Source organism: Homo sapiens, chromosome X (genome assembly GCF_000001405.40).
Source record: "Homo sapiens chromosome X, GRCh38.p14 Primary Assembly".
Lineage (NCBI taxonomy): Eukaryota > Metazoa > Chordata > Mammalia > Primates > Hominidae > Homo > Homo sapiens.
In genome coordinates, this window is record NC_000023.11 from 129,180,500 (window position 1) to 129,198,125 (window position 17,626).

At 39.6% G+C, this 17,626-nt stretch overlaps 1 long non-coding RNA gene across 1 annotated transcript in view, besides 1 other annotated feature; it reads right to left on the bottom strand.

Moving 5' to 3' along the window:
* LOC124905213 (uncharacterized) overlaps window positions 1-5,933 on the bottom strand; it is a 275,363-nt gene extending 269,430 nt beyond the window's left edge. Inside the window, exon 1 of the long non-coding RNA XR_007068324.1 lies at window positions 5,354-5,933. This is a non-coding gene — a long non-coding RNA (uncharacterized LOC124905213). The remainder of the gene's footprint in view (window positions 1-5,353) is intronic.
* Window positions 7,710-8,458: an enhancer, noted in NCBI's record as "OCT4-NANOG hESC enhancer chrX:128322186-128322934 (GRCh37/hg19 assembly coordinates)". NCBI's record gives its function as "activates a minimal SCP1, AML or CMV promoter by ChIP-STARR-seq in naive and primed H9 embryonic stem cells {active_cell/tissue: H9 hESC(naive and primed)}" and the evidence as "EXISTENCE:reporter gene assay evidence [ECO:0000049][PMID:30033119]".

Below are 17,626 nucleotides of genomic sequence, written 5' to 3' on the forward strand. Positions count from 1 at the left end.
TAATATTGAATGAAAAAAACTAGACCCTAAAGAATGTATACCATATGATTCCACTTATATGAAGGACAAATAGTAAGGCAAACAAATCAATAATTTTAGAAGTAAGGACAGTATTTGCTTTGGGGAGGAAGAAAGGAATGGTGATCGAGAATACATGAGAGGAACTTCTGGGTGTTCTAGTGATGTTTTAGTTCTTAAGCAAGTATGTGGTGATATTGTGATGTTTTCACTTTGTGATAACTCATTGCACTATATGTCTATGACGTGTTCTCTTTCATACATGTATATTAGACTGTAGGAAATGTTTATTTTTTTAAAATACTTTTGAAATGGTTATCTATAGGGAAAGGAGGGAACATAGCAGAGGGGACAAGGATAGAAGTTAGATTTCTCTAAATATACCTTATTTTTTAGAATTGTGAGTCTGGTTCTTTGTAATATCTTATATAGGTATAAGAGTAAATTAAATTTTTAAAAATAATTACTATAAAACAAAATTAAATTAAAAGAAATGAACCTGCTTACAGAATTGATGCCATAACAACCCAGAGAGCAACTATTTCTAGTGATTTTTAAATGCAGCTATTTGACCTTCCATTCCTAGTGGGATACATCTTAAGGACAGGATTAATTTTAAAAATCTTAAACTGTTTTCACTAGCCTTCTAATTGATTTTTAGCATAGAAAAAGGGATATACAGACATTGGATCAATGGCATCAAGTAAAAACCCTGAAGTCCTAAATTTGAGTTAGAACTATCCTAAACACCCATGATGTGTTTCACATTTTAAAAATATTTCCGGCCGGGCATGGTGGCTCACACCTGTAATCCCAGCAATTTGAGAGGCCGAGGTGGGCATATCACTTGAGGTCAGGAGTTCAAGACCAGCCTCGCCAACATGATGAAACCCCACCTTTACTAAAAATACAAAAATTAGCCGGGCATTGTGGCAGGCACCTGTAATCCCAGATACTCCAGAAGCTAAGGCAGGAGAATTGCTTGAACCCGGGAGGTGGACGTTGCAGTGAGCCAAGATTGCACCACTGCACTCCAGCCTGGGTGACAGAGCAAGACTCCATCTCAAAAAACAAACAAACCAAAAAAATTTCCCCCTGTCTCTACTAAAAGTACAAAAAATTAGCTGGGCATGGTGGCACACAGCTGTAGTGCCAGCTACTCAGGAGGCTGAGGTGGGACGATCACCTGAGCCCGGGAAGTTGAGGCTTCAGTGAGCTGTGATCCAGTCACTATACTCCAGCCTCGGCGATGGGAGTAGGATCCTGTAAAAAAAAAAAAAAAAAAACCCTAGTTCTGTCCACTGAAAAAGCCCTAGAAACACTGACTAGCCCAATAGCAATGAGCAACCCTAGCACCAAGATTGTCATCTCTAAATATCCTTTATCACTAAAAGGAATCAGGGCTCCTTGGAGAAAGTAGAGGTCTGGGACAAATGTTCAAGTTGAAACTGGATCACCTTGTCATATCAGATAGCAAGGAAGCTATCAAAACAGAGTCATGTAAAAGGACTTAAGAGTCAACATGAAGGGGCTCCAAGTGACCAAAGTTGAAACAATTTTATCATCAGTAGAAATAATAACTGCAATGGATTGAAACACATAAAGTTCATTAAAGGTATGAGTTACTGATGACAGTAAAACAAAACTCACTGGTCACTGTTGGAGAATGCTAGTGAACCAACTCGTTCTTTCAAAAACTAGTAAATAAAGAGAAAGAATGAAGAATTCATCCTGCCATCCTTGCATGATGTGTACTCCACTAAAACCAAACAGCTGATAAGGGCAAATTTGTATTTATAAAAGTATTCCAACTAATAATTGAAGAAGTTTTGATAGTACTAGCATATCTCCGTCTCATAATCCCTATGGATCTAGGCAATGAGCCTCAGTGGCTGCTGACATCACAAAAAGAGCGACAAATAGACATTACATGCTTTCTGATAGAAGCACATAACCTCACCTATCAAGTATTCTTGTGAAAAGATGAAAGCTGAATTTGTCTAACTGCCAATTTCTAGCAAATAGAGGGTAAAGGAATATTTTAAGTGATTCTACTAGGATGCAATCAGCAAAATCCAGACTGAGAGAGAGAGATAGAGATAAAGATAGAATAGAGAGATAGAGAGATAGATGATAGATAGATAGATAGATAGATAGATAGATAGATAGATAGATAGATATAGAGTTAGAGAAAGTTAGAGATAGAGATAGAAGAGAGAGTTTATATGCCTCTTAAGTCTCATTTAATTTTTAGGTTCCTCTCTCTTCTCTAATTGCAATATTGCAGTGTAGGAACCTTATTTGGATCTTTATTCCAACAAATTTAAAAGAAAATTTATGAGAAAGTCAAGATAATGTATATACTGCCTATATTATTTGATGATAACTTAATTTTTCAGGCATGATAATGATATTGTGAATATTATTTTTGTAATGAGCTTATATATTTTAGAAATATATACTGAAACATTTAAGACAAAATTATGCCTTGGACTTGCTTCAAAGTAATTCTGGGTATGGGAGTGAGGTTATATACATGAAGCAAGATTGGCCATGAACTGATATTTGCTGAACCTAGGTGATGAGTTCATGGGGGTTCATGTTTTCTACTTCGGTAAATGTTTGAAGTTTTCCATAATAAAAAACATTTTAAAGAATGGGACAAAAAACCAAAGTTTATTAAAATGGACAGTTTTCCCCAATTAATCTGTAAACCTGAGAATGCCAAGATGCTTAAAGATATAATCAATTACACTTATAATATAAGTGCTTTCTATGAAAGAGAGGAACAGGTATAATGAGAGATTGATTATGAATGTACTTATTTATAATATAACTGTTAGTGAATACATACTTTTTATTTGTTTATTTTAAGTTGGTCATTTTATTCACGTGCAAACTATTCATTATGAAAAAATGAGTCAAATGTATAATTTAATGTAATAAAGGGAGTCAAATAACAAAGAGAGACAAGTAATGACAATATATAGTTCATTAATTTTACTTTTAGGGAGTTGAACAGTGGTTTGATAGCATCATTAAAAAAAAAGTCTATGTGAAACTCAATCCATTTAGAACTCATCAGGAGTACCGTGTTTGGCCTGGATTGTACATTTTAAAAGACTGGTCAACTACTGTGGTACAGCCAGAGGAGAATGACCATGACTGTGAGGTGATCTAGAAATCCTGTCAAATGACAACAAGTTGAAAGTACTAGGAATGTTTAACCTGGACCAGAAAAATCTTGGATATACACGCAAACAGTGTTTAAATGTATGAAAAGCCCAGCAACCAGTTGGTGAACCGATTTACAATATGTCACTCGGGAAAACCAATAATGAGTCAAAGTTGCAGAAGAGTAGGTTTTCTCTCACTGTGGAGAACTTTCCAACCATGAGAGCTATCCAGCCGTGGACTCTGCTACCCTAGATGATAAAAAGCTGCCCCTGGAAATGGTCAAACAGACAAGGCAACACAAAATTCCAGGTCTCTCCTAGCCCTAAGGTTCTGAGTTTTAAGTTGTTCAGCAAAGAGCTACTTAAAACCAAGGAGGAAGCTTCCTTAGCTTAAAAAAAGTTTTTCTTAACCAGGCAGGTGCTTGTTTATTCAATAAGCACAAATATAGAGGAGATCTTTTCGGGAGGAAATCAATATTTTTAAAGATAAAACCCATCAATGTTACTTGTGTCAAGTGCCTAGAGTAAATTAAGTTTACAACTTCAGCAGACTGTCATGTGAAAGTGTGGCAGTGACTAACAAATTGAATTACCATAGTACTACATCACTCACAAAAGTATTATTGATAGTGACAGAGTGATATTGAATTTAAATTATTCAGTTTTATTGATTGAACAGCACATCTTAACTACGAAACAAGAGGGAAAAAGCTGAGATGTTAGACTTGGATTTTACCTCCCATTGAGAACGATCCCCCAAAAAGAATATGTGTATATGCAGTTGAGCCCTATAAAAAGTATCAACCCACTGAAGTATTTTCTGGGTACCTTTCCAGTCCTGTCTTCTCTGTCCATGTTCATCTCACCCTCACTTAGCTATCCAGAGCCCAGTGTTTCAATGATCCCTGCTTCTTGAGTTCCCTTTTCATCCTATTTCCCAGGTCCCTTCCTGACCTAGTTTCATTGCTTATTTTGAAACCACGTATTGAATACTTCTTCTGTGCTAGACACCATTCTGGGCATCAGAGATTAACAGATGAGTATGGCTTTCTCTCGAGGAGGACATAATCTAATGGACAGAAAGAAATGTAAAGCAAAACAAAACAAACTGAAATAAAGTGTTGTATATTTCTCTACCCTACCATTCAAAACCCCCTGTCCTAATCTCTGTTATCTGCATATCTAAGAAGATTTTTAATCTGTGGGGAAACACAGACCCCATCTGAGAATCTTCTAAAAGCTATGGAATCCCTCCCTGGAAAAAAAAAAACACAACACACACACACACACACACACACACGTATATACACACAACTTTTATGAAATTTGGGGGAGTTCAAAGTTTCCCTGAAGCCTGAACAAGAAGCCCTAGAGGTAAAAGCCCCTGCCCTAAGGTGTTCATGACTGTAAAGTAATTGATGTTTTCCTAATTTGGGGCCATTTACATTGTCTGAGTGAACTTCTGGAATCTAAATGCATTAAGGCGAAAGAATTAAGTGACAGTGAAAATTATTTTTGTCTTGCCAAAATAAGCAGAAGACAGTGGGAAATTTAGGATTCTTGAAAGGCTGGAAAAGGTGAAGAAGGCATTATCCTCCCAATCAAATTATCGCACACAGGTAGCCTAAATTAAGAGTTTTACTGTGCCTAAGTCTTGCTCAATTAACAAAATTATTTCATCCAAGATCTCTGTAGCACTTTCAGGCATCTATCTGTCACCTATGAAGCCTCCTTTCTTTCATTTTTTAATTAAACTAAGACACAAACATTATTCCGTCTCCCTCAGAAAAACAACACAATTTACATCCATGAATGTTACAGTCGCCCTAAATGCTCTATCTTAATTGTTTGAGGGTCTTTTTAATTAAAACATGTATAGTTGTTGGTAGAGCTTGAAAATTAGGCAGCTTCCACTGAGCCTCGGGCAAAAAAAATTTCTCTGCAGCAGAGGAGCAAGTAGCCCCGGGCAAGCAGTAATCATCTGGCTAGCTAAGCCCACTATCCTTTTTTAGCTTAAATCCTTGCTATTCAAAGTGCAGTTGATGGGCCAGCAGCAATGGCATCACTAGGATTTTGTAAGCAATGCAGAATCCCAAGCATATCCCAGGCCAGTGAATCAGAATTTGCAGTTTAACAAGATACCCAGGTGATTCCAGTACCTGTTAAAATTTGAGAAGCACTGTCTTAAAGGATAACTTAGTTCACATTATAGCAGCACTGAGTAGACTCCCAGGCCTCAGGGACTATTGTTGGACAAATAAGTGTAAAGTTTAAGGTGCTTCCACTAGGGTGATCTCATCATCTCTCAGAGTGCCTGGAAACTAAGAAACTGCAATTACTATTTGTTCATTGATCCATTTAAAAAATTGTTGATGAGTATCTACTATGGGTGAAGCACTAAGCAAGGCATTGCAACTACATTATTGAGAAAACCCTCATGAAGCTTACAGTCTAGTGCAGTGTTTCTCAAAGAGGTGTCACCTTACCATTTGTATCAAGTTTACAATGGATGGGTGCATGTTTTAAAAAAGTAAATTTCTGGGACCCACCCAAGATTAGTTGAATCAGAATCAGAATGGATATATTCCCAGGAAACAGCATTCACAGCATTCAGGTGATTATTAGGCACAAGGAAGTTTGAGAATCACTGACTTCAAGGATTATGGAATATTAATAAATGAAGTCATTCATTCAACAAATATTTATCAAACTCCTACTATGTGCTAGGCATTTTTTTTTTTTTAGATGGAGTCCCACTCTGTTGCCCAGGCTGGAGTGCAGTGGCACGGTCTCAGCTCACTGCAACCTCTGCCTCCTAGGTTCCAGTGATTCTCCTGCCTCAGCCTCCTGAGTAGCTGGGATTACAGGCACGAGCCACTGTGCCCAGCCATGCTAGGCATTCTTTTAGGCACAAGGGAAATAGCAGTGAACCGAATTCCATATTTTTATGGAGTACACATTCCAAATGGAGGAGGCAGGTAACAAACAAACACGTATGTCAACTAGTGATAAGTGCTATGAGAAAAACTAAGGCTGGTAAACGGCTAGTTAGTGATGGGGGTCCTATTTCATATAGGATGGTCCAGAAAAGCCTCACTACAAAGGCAGTAACTGAGGCAAGACTTGAATGAAGTGAGGGAATGAGCCATGCAGCTGTGGAAGGTTTTCCCAGGCAGAAGGAACAACACAGGCATAGTCCCTTTGGTGAGAATGTGTTCGACAGGTTCAAAGATAGAAAAGAGACCAGCAGGAAAATGATTGGGGAAGAGTCAGAGAGGTAACATAGGAGCTTGGTAGGAGCTTGGACATGTCATTCTATGGACTTTGGCTTTTACATTGTGAGGAACAGGGAGCCATTAGAGGGGTTTAAGTAAAGAAGCAACATGATATGATATGTTTTTAAATAGTTTATTCTGAATGCTGTGTAGAGAACAGACTGTATGGAGTATACTAATTAGGGTAAAGTTAGGGTGTTATCACAAAAGGACCCAACCTTATGGTAGCTTAAGAATAAAGGAGTTTGTTTTCTCTCTTACTTAACAGCCCTGATGCAAACTGTTCTAATCTATAGCTAAGGTCCCTTGCTCATGGTGATTCATGGGCACATATTATTTCCAAGTTGTTTCCAAGACCATCACCTAGGGCCTTGTCATGATCTGCAAATTCAAAGCCATATTGTCAAGATATCCAGGTTCTAGCAGAGAGAATAAGAACAGGGTATAGAGGAAGCAAGCCCAAATGTCACAAGTCACTGACTCAGAAATGGCACACGTCATTTCTGCTCACTTCTATTGATGAAAACTTAGTCGCATGGGCATATCTAACAACAATCAAGGCTAGGGAATGTAGTCCAGCCAGACAGATGTTCATTCAGGTGTATTTATTTGAAGAAGGGCCAAATGAGTTTTTATAGACAGCTAGCAATGTCTGCCATAGAGGACTAGAGCAAAAGAAGGCAGATGTTGCCGTCATCCAGATAAGAGATGATAGTAGCATAGACCAAGGTGGTGGCAGTGAACATGTGGAGGAATGTTGGCTTTTGTATACGATCTATTTTGAAAGATTCACTGATATACTAGATATGGATGTGATGATGATGATTACTCCAAGAGTTCTGGCCTGAATGACTTGAAGAAAGGAGTTGAATGAATGATTGGATAAAAAAAAATATTCCACTTGAGCCGGATATTTCTCTCTTCTCCCCATCTTCCTAAACCCAATACTACATCTTAGTATGAATACAACTCAACTTCTTCCTTGAAAGCCAGATTTCAAATTTCAGTTCTACTACTTTCTACATGTGTGACCTTAAGCAAATCCTTTCATTCTGATATGGCTCCAATGAGTAGAGGAACACCAGGGTTCTTGGTCCTCATGCTGGTTTAGATAAAATGACATGGACATATGTGGAGTGGTTTCAAGGAGCAGAGAATTTAACAGGCAAGAAAGAAGGGAAGAGAAAGAAAGAAGAAGCTCCCCTGTACACAGACAGAGGGAGGGGGGCTCCAAAGCCAAGAGAGGAGACCCCAAGTCGGGCAGAAACCAGTCAGGTATATGTAGAGGCTGGAGGAGGCGGTATCTGATTTGCACAGGGCTCAGGGGATTGGTTTGACCAGGTATGTCATTCACATAGCCCAGGAAAAAACTGGCCCTCCCACCCCAGCCTATTAATATGCAAATGTAGGGCGCCATGATGTTCTACACACGTGGGGATATGTGGGGGCAGCCATGTTGCCAGGCACTTGTCAGCAAGTGCAAGAAGGCTGCGGGAATCGCCATGTTTGGGTGGACCCAGTTTCTAATAGCCTACATTTGCATATCAAAGGTTGCCAGCTGGGCTCTAAGAGCCAGGGCTTTACAAGAAAGATGCTTTAAAAAACGAAAACTTCCCAAGGACCCCTTTTCCTCTCTATCTGCCTAAAATAATTTCTTAATAACTCCTACAACAATTCCACCGACTCTTAGTAACCTTATCTATAAAATAGAAACAATAGTAACACCAATCTCATAAAGTTACTGTGAAGATTAAATAAGGCAAGGTACAGGAAGTACATAGCACAGGATGCACTCAATGAAAATGGCCCATCAGACTTGTGATAAACATTACATGTGATTATATATGACTGGGTAAACCATATAACACACTTCTCAGCACATGGAAAATGCTCAATATGTGGTATTTATTATTTTTAAAAGGGAGGGCTAGAGTTACCAAAGATAAATGTAGTCACTTCCCAAATTATCTCAGAGACAGCACTGGGAAGAGTATGTCATCTCACCACAATGCAGAAACTAAATGAATGTGCCTATAGAGTTGCTGGACTGTTAGAAATATTTCTCTGAGACCCTCAGCTTATAAGTATCAGTCACAGTTTCTCCCTATCTCTGATGTACAGGACCCTGACATCCTCCATCTACTAGTGTCAGAGAGGAATATAAATGATCTGCATTCTGTAGGGGTGGCAGGAAAGCTTCCTCTTCACTCACTGAAGGTTTGTTGAAAATGAACTGACAAAAAGCAGATTAATAGGAGAGAAATGCATACAAAATTTATTTAAAGTGCATAGCATGGAGGAATCACGGGAGAATGATTACTCAATAACCCAAGGAGGTCCACATGCTTATATACCCTTCTTCATAGGGGAAGGGGAGAGGGAGATGTAGAAGGAAATGATTTTCAGGGGAAATGAATAAGCCCAAAGAACAATGGCCTGAGACAATGGAAAGATGAGGGGCAAAACTTCACTATAAACGAAGTTTGTCTCATTATGCAGATGAAGTTCCCCCAGGTAATCTCTCAGAACCACCCTCTGAAGAATAGGGAAAGAGGATCAGGGAGACAGGGAAAGGTCAGAGAGAGACCTTGAGGCTGCTTCTTTAGTTTGGCATGTGAAAGTGCCATATTTTGGGTATCATTTTCTGAACACCAACATTCCCCTGACTGAAACTTCCCTAGAAATTTCATACATTTAAAGCTGAGTTGGTGGCTGTAGAGAGAAAAATCGAGTTTGTAGCTAAATGGCAAAGGGTCCCTTAAACCAATCTCCCATTGCTGGGAATAGGTCAATCTAATTAAACAGTTGTGTCTCAATTCAGGAGGTGGTGTTTTCCAGGATCCCATAAAAGTTTTATCTCTATATAGTGTAGGCAAAGAGGTTTTTTAAATAAGACACATTTTTATGGAAACAGAAGAAAAACAAAAGTTAATGTCTAGAGCAGTCTATAAGCTAGTTTACTTAGAATCTGGAGGGCAGTCAGTGGAGAAGATTACTAGATTTGGGATTCAAGCATCTATAGTTGGAGCAACATCAGGTGGTGGCAATTTGACAGATTTTTCTGGTTTATAGTTTCCCTGTCACAAAGTTTGTCCAAATAGAAGCTGTCGTGGTGATTTTTCTTTAAAGCCAAATTGACCAGCTTTGGCTTGTGGGCCTCAGGGAACAAAAGGCAGTTTTTAATTTCTAGTGATTTCAAATCAGAAGGATGAGAGAAAAATTGAAAATGTTACTTTGGGGACTTATGGTGAGATTATTAGAACAAACTAAGAATTCAGAATTCAGTCCAGATAAAAACTCAAAAATAATGGACAGGAATAGAATCTAATAACAGGTGCACTATAGTTTTCTTCTGAAACATAATTTTCTCTCTCCAGTCCCCCTATTTCTGACAACTATAATCACAGTAAGACCAAGTTGTTTGTAAAAATAAAATTAGTTTCATAAACTTAGCCTGATTATTTGCACAAAGTACAGCAAGAATAGTGATTGATCATATAGGCTTTTTTTTTAGCTGGCTTTGCTGGAATATTTTTATAAGGAACCTCAGCTTAATCTCTTAGAGCTGCCCTCAAAAGAATAGATGAAAAGTCTACTTGGGTGGGATAATGACCTCTAGTCTCTTCTGTTCTCACTTGGTTAATCTTTCCCAGTTATTTGATAAGATTCCTAGGGAGGGTAACTTAAGACAATTGCATTTCTTTTGGAAAGAAGTTTTCTTAATCAGCTAAGGAAATTCCGGACAGAGTCCTTCCCAATGCTTTGGGAAAGAGGACAGAGAGACAGGGAGGCAGGGAAAGGTCAGAGAGAGACCTTGAGGCTGCTTCTTTAGTTCAGCATGTCAAAGTGTCATATTCTGGGGCATCATTTTCTGATCCCCAGCAATTCAAACTATAGCACTGCTGCAGTTTCCTTAGCCACTCATAATGTTTGCATGTTCCAGAGAAACAAAGCTTCCATCAGAAACCAAACACAAGCCAGTTTACATGAGTGTCTGCACTTGAGAGTATATAAAGACTTGCACAGGCTAGGCGCGGTGGCTCATGCCTATAGTCCCAGCACTTTAGGAGGCTGAGGCAGGAGGATTGCTTGAACCCAGGATTTCAAGACCAGCCTGAGCAACACAGGGAGACCCTGTCTCTACAAAAAATAAAAATAAATTAGCCAGGTGGGGTGGTTCATGCCTGTGGTCCCAGCTACTTGTGAGGCTGGTGTGGGCGGATTGCTTGAGCTGGGAGGTCAAGGCTGCAGTGAGCTGTGATTGCACCACTGTACTCCACCCTATGTGACAGAGGGAGAAGCTGTCTCAAAAAAAAATAAATAAATAAAAATTTAAAAAAAGACTACTTGCATAAACCAAACAGAGCAGGAAGACCTGTGAGAGCTACTAGTGTCCTTTTCCTTTTTGATCCTTGGTGTCACTCATTGAATTCAAGCAACAAAGTATATACCTGATAAAGAAATGGGATTTCTATTATGACCCATCTGTTATAATCTGCATATCTATATATCTTCCTGCACAGTTTACAAAGCACTTTCACATACACTGATACTTTCAACAATTCTAAGAGGTATTATTAACTTCATTTTACAGAAGAAGAAAACTAAGAGTTAAGAAATAAAGTGGTTTACCCTTAGTCATACAATTAGCAAACAATCTTAATTCATCTGTAACAGAGTAGGGAGCTCTTACAGCTTGGATTTAAGATATTTACAGTGAAATTCTGCATTTGCATCATCATATTTGGTTTTTTCCCACGATTTACAAGGTTTCCTGGTGTAAGTGCCCAACCCAACCTGGGTTCTGTGAATCCTGAGCCCACTCCCCAAATTGATAAGACTTGTAGCATTTGAGTTTTTCAGTTTGTTCATGTTTTCCCAACCAAGACTGGAAGCTGAGCCATACATGAACAAAATAATCTAGAAGGGAATGTTTGTTCCATGCCTACTGATCAGATTGCTTCCCCATGGAGTACTTACCTCCTACTTGACTTGGGCTAGAATTCATACCTTCTCTTTGAGAAACACTGTGTAAATTACTTTGCTTTCTCTGAGCCTCAGTTTTCTCACCTGTAAAACTGAGATAATGGTGGTATCCACTCCACAGAGCTATTGTAGGGAATGAAATAATGTCTGTAGAACACCAAACACATATTAATCATTCAATAGGGAGTGATGGTGCAATAGGGATAGTAGTGATGGGAATGGTAGTATTCATTATAATTACAGTTTCCAGACCATTCTCTTGCCACTTTCCACCAAAGCATGTATCACATTTCTCCTTAAGGTCTTATCTGCTTGCTTAATCTCTTGAACTATCTCCTAACCTGCTGATGGTAGTTTAAAGCATTACTCACCCCACCACTAGATAATAGATATACATTTTGACAAGATACTTAAACTACATATTTCAAAGAATAATAAAAACAAAAGAGCTATACCTCCAAAACAAGGAGATTTGGGGGCTACTCCCACATTCTGTAGGCAGACCTTTATTTTTCTGGTATAGAGCCAGGCCTGACTGGTTATATTTGGCTCCAAATGTAAAAGAAAAAGAGAGAGGATGGGTTTTGCCAGGTATTTCAGAAATTGACTGTCAGGCCAAGCTACTTGAATATATTATTAAAAAAAAAAAAAACAGCAGCAAAAAAGTTTTTGTCACTTCAACCTCCCTAGTTCCCTGACTCCCTGTACCCTAGCTCTCCATCCCTTAACACAAACACACACATAAAACAAATATCTCCAGGCACCAGGTAAGCTGTATCGAAGATCATAACATTCTGTCACAGTGGGGCCAAGGGTAAACATTGTGTTGGGTTGTAGTCAAATGCATTTGGTAAGAAATAATGCATGAAAGCAGAGCCCAGGTGCTGTTGGAAATGTGCAAAAATACCTCTGTGCTTCTCAGAATTGGTAAACATTAAAAGGCTGAACACAGAGCAAAACCAGTCAGAACTGTCTCTTCCTGAGAATATTGGATTTGCTATGGCTATTTGTGAACACCCTCATGGCCCATAAGAAGTGATAAAATCTTTCAGATATGAGTTGATCTTTTCTAGAGGAGCAGAAGATCCTGGCTAGGGTACCTAGCTGTTGAAGATTTTTAAATTTCAATCAAATAGCAGTAAATCTTTTTGTATAACACAAAGGGCTTATTATATATTCATCCAAATGAAATTCACAACACAGAATGCTACCCTCTTCCTCAATTTATCATCTCTTCCAGGAGTGTTTGTCATCCTTGTTAATTTCCCAGAAAACCGAAATCTGAATCCTCTTGGCTGTAAGATACTGCAAGCCTTCCCAACAAGAAATGATTTTCCCTTAAAAAGAATTGGAATTTTCCATGGATCCTGGCTAAGGTCTGCTTCACAAGTCAAAGATACTAAGTCAGACAATAAGACAATTCAGAAATTTTTAAGTATAAACTAAGGCCAGCCTCACCAGAAGGTCATTGTTTACATGTATAATTTCTCATCAGCTTGCCAGATAGTGTCATAATGAGACAGCCAGGTGGGAAGGGCTCCCTGGCAAAACTCCAACTGGCCTGCACACTGGGAGGAATGTGCACTGGGGTGGAGCCGCAAAGTTCACCCCGTTTGCAGTGGGGAGGAGCCTGGCCCCTCCTCTTCCTGGGTGGAATCTGGGATTCAAACTGGGAGATGGGAAGCACAACAGCAGGGCCTCCAGCTTTGCGGAGTGTCCCTGTTTTCCTTTTTTTCCCTTTTCACCCAATAAAACTGTGACTTACTCACCCATCAAATCACCTGCGAGCCTAAATTTTCAGGGCCATGTGACAAAGACCCTCCCTTTAGCTGAACCAAGGAAAAGTCCTGCAACAAAAATTAATTCCTTTGGAATAAGACACAAAAGTTACTGGTTAAAAGGTATTTCCCCCAAAAGAAGATTATGCATATACTGGTTTATCAGGAAGGAGAGCTGGGTGTATACTTTGATAGAGCCAGAGCATTTGGGTGTTACCATACTGATGGAGAGTAGGTGTGAAGAAGGTAGTGGCTTCTGGAGTTGGAGGTGGAGTGGGGGTTGGAGCAGGTCCTGGAAGAACTTGTGAGAGGGCACAAAATCACATAATCACTAAATAGTTTTGCCAAGAGCCAGTCCTCTGGGCCTTTCCCATTTCTAAGTGTCACACAATTCCTTCTTATTTTATACTCGACCCTGAAGGACTCTGAACGATAACTAGGCATTATTACCTTGATAGGGTTTTAATCGGCCTTTTCTCATAATTGTGAAAAGCAGAGAAAGAGAGACACAGGAGGAGATGGGAACGTAAGAAAGGTATGGGGACAGGAGAGAACACTTTTTCCTCACTCCCGATGTTGCTTTCCATGATTCTATCTCCTCATTTATTTCTTCCAAGGGAGGTGAGATTTATGAGTGGTGAGTCTGGTCAAAAAACCTGTCCCTGTCGCATTGGTCACAGCTCCTTATCTCCTCTTATTCTTGAGACTAAGGCTGTTGTCAGAGTGTGTGTCTTGCTCTGCTCTTCCATGCAGAGAGTTTTTACAGAGACATATATAAATATCCATGGGGATGGGAAGGGCAATGTGATGGTCTGGTGCTACCTCTGAGTGGGTGAACAAATCTGAGATACAGTGTTATAATCGCCTGATGGGTTCTTCCTGCCCACTGCACAGACAAAACCAATTCACCAAGACTATGACATTGCAGTAAAGAAAGAATTTAATTGATGTGAGGCCAGCAATGCCACATGAAAGACAGTTATTACACAAATCAACCTTGCTGATGGCTTGGATATTAGGGTTTTTCAAGGAGAGTTTGATGGGCAGGGGACTGGGAAATGGGTGCTGCTGATTGATTGGGTATGCCATCATAGGAGTGTAGAGAATGGTCCTCATGTGCTGAGTCTGCCTCTGGGAGGGGGCCATAGGGCTGCCTCTGGGTCACTCCGAAATGCAAAAGTCTGAAAAGGCATCTCAAAAGGCCAATCTTAGGTTCTATAACGGTGATGTTATTTACAGGAGTAAATGGGGGAAGTTACAAATCTTGTAACCTCTGGAACAATGGCTGATTATTGGTTAACTATGCCTACACTTAGAAGAATTTAGGCCTCTCTCATAAGCCTAACCTTGTGGCATTTCATTAGTTTTACAAAGGTGATTTAGTTTTTGGAAGGGCTTATTATCATCCTTGCTTTAAGGTTAAACTACAAACTAAATTCCTCCCATGGTTAGCTTGGCCAACGCTCAGGAATGAGTAAATATAGCCAGCCTGTGAGGCTAGAAGCAAGATAGAGTCAGCCATGCTACATTTCTCTGACTGTCAAAATCTTTACAAAGGTGGTTTCAGTATTAGGAAGCTCACTTATCCACAGATATAAACTACATTCTTATCAGTTTAGTTGGGAATAAAGGGGCTATTTTCATCTCCCCTTTGTCTTGCTCATTTTTTTTCAATATCTGTTGGTTTAGAATTCAAGGTGTTATTTATTGGACTTCCTCTAATCCAAACACCTGATGGATTGGTCCAAGAATACAAGGAAATAGACAAGAACTAGAATTAGCAGACTCAAATAACAACAGAAATATCTCTGGGTGGGGCTAGGGGCTATAGGTCTTGGACTTCAATATATAAACAGGATATTTTGAACTTGGCAGTCTATAGAAGCTTACATTGGACCAAGAGTCTGTTTTATATAATTATACAATTGGCTTTTATTAGGCCAAAATTAGGCCTAACAAGGCCAAAATTAACTTCTTGGTGAGAAATTTCTCCAAATTGAATTGAAGTTCACAGATCATGGACTCCAGCCATTTGGGTAGACTGGCATCCCTGGTACAGCTAAAATCAAGATTCTTTCTGTCTGTCACTTTTCCTTCAGATAATATTGAGTCTTTAGCAATTCTGAGTACTGAATATGGATAATGAAATTTTACCTGGGAAAAAGTCCCCTAGGGACTATGGATTGGTCTACATATTAGCTGTCTGTTGCTACATAACAAACTATCCCAAAATACAGTGGCATAAAATGGAAAACATTTATTATCTCCCAGTTTCTATGGGTCAGGAATCTAGGTGAACCTTAGTTGGATCCTCTGTCTCAGAATCCTTCACAGGCTGCAGTCAAGATGTTGGCCATGACTATGGTTATCTCAAGGCTCAATTAGGAGAGGACCTGCTTCCAAGTTCACTCACATGGCTGCTGGGAGAATTTAGTTCCTCAAAGACTGTTAGACTGAGTCTCATCCCTTGCTGGCAAGTTCCTTGTCACATAGGCCTCTCCATCAGGCAGCTCACAACACAGCAGATGGCTTCATCAGCACAAACAACTGAGAACAGCCAGAGAAGAAGAGAATGCTACAAACATGGAAGTCACAGTCTTTGGTAAACTAATTCTAGAAGTGACACGCCACCATTTCATCATATTCTATTTGTTAAAAGCAACATAGTAGGTCCAGCCCAAACCCAGGGGAAGGGATTTCACAAGGAGTGAATTCTAGGAGGCAGAGATCAATGTGGGCCATGAAGGGACTACCACCACCTATTTGTTTGTTTTCTAATTGGGAATATGTGGGGCCAGTGATGCAATTATCTTGTAGGTTCTATTAATTCCTTGAACTGTAGGAAACATCAGAGACTTGGCATTGAACCAACACACACTCAGAGGCTCTGAAAGAACTACATCCATTCCAGTAAGAGACAGTACAGACTAAAACTGCTGAAGAACCCCAAGTCTGCACAGGCCTTGAGAACTTTTCTCATTAAAGTTGAGCATAGTAAGAAGCTAGGGAGGATACATTTTGGTCCTTAATTTTTGGAACTTTTACTCCCAAGAGAAAGAAAACTTTATTTTGAACTTTAAAATCTTTGGAGGTAAAAACTTTGGACTTTCATTTCTCTAGACTTTAACTAAAAAGCATGAGGGAGTTTGAATTTAAATGTCCTCCTGCAAATGTGATAAAAGAAGATTATATTCAAATGAGTAGCATCTTATTGATGCACATTATTTTCATAGTGTCTTAATGTTATCCTTTGGTCTCACTGCACATCCTCTGATAGTATACTTATGACAATTCAGCTGGTCATTATTTGAGAAAGGAAATAGAGTAGGTGATAAATTTGCATCCTTACACAAGGCACAGTCTTGATATTAATTTAATTAATATAGTCTTCAGGCACATTTCAGAGCCTTCTGCAAATATCACCATCTACATTGCCCATCAGCAATCCCAGTGGTTTCTACTGGGAGGTTAGCCTCACGAAGGTGGGAGTCAGACTGTCCTCATAAACTGCTAATCTTCCCCCTTCATGGAGATGGCTCAGTGGTTAAACTCAGTGGGTTAAGAGAAAAATAAACTGGGAAATTCTAGAGTAGATTATTCTTCCCAACTCTACATGTTTCTTTCCATGTGGGGGCTGTGATATTCTTATGAAGAGGAGGGGGATTGGGATGATTTACCTGGTTGATGAGCTTAGAACAAGGAACTGGGGCATGCATAGCTCTGACCATACTGCTTCTTCACGGGATATGGCTGACTACAGAGGAGTTGTGTTCTGTTCTGATTTCTGCCAAACAGTGAGAGGGGCCTGGCCCTGTAAGAGGGTTCTGTGGTGGTACAGCATAGTTTGTGACAGAGGAGGTAAGCCTCTCTAACACAGGGCCACTATATTGGGAAGCCCGTTTGCTCATACATATAAACTGTGTCCCCACTCTAACCTTTATCCAATATTAAAGGTGATATTTTACTTTATTGAGACAGGGTCTTGCTCTGTTGCCCAGTCTGGAGTGCAGTGGCATAATCATGGCTCACTACAGCCTCAACCTCCCAGGTTCAAACAATCCTCCCGCCTCAACCTCTCAAGTATCTGGAACTTACAGGTACACACCACAATGCCCAGCTATTTTTTGATTTTTAAAAAATTTTGTAGAGACAGAGTCTCGCTATATTGCTCAGGCTAGTCTCGAACTCCTGGGCTCAAGTGATCTTCTCACCTTGGCCTCCCAAAGTGCTGGGATTACAGGATGAGCCACCACACCTGGCCTAACGGTGATAAGACTCCACCTTCAGATTCCTTTGAATTTCTCAATTGTTCAGAACTCAAGCAAGTAAAAGTGCTGTGCTATTGGTTGCCTTCCCACTTGTCACAAACAGAAGTGGTCTGGATATGAAAAAA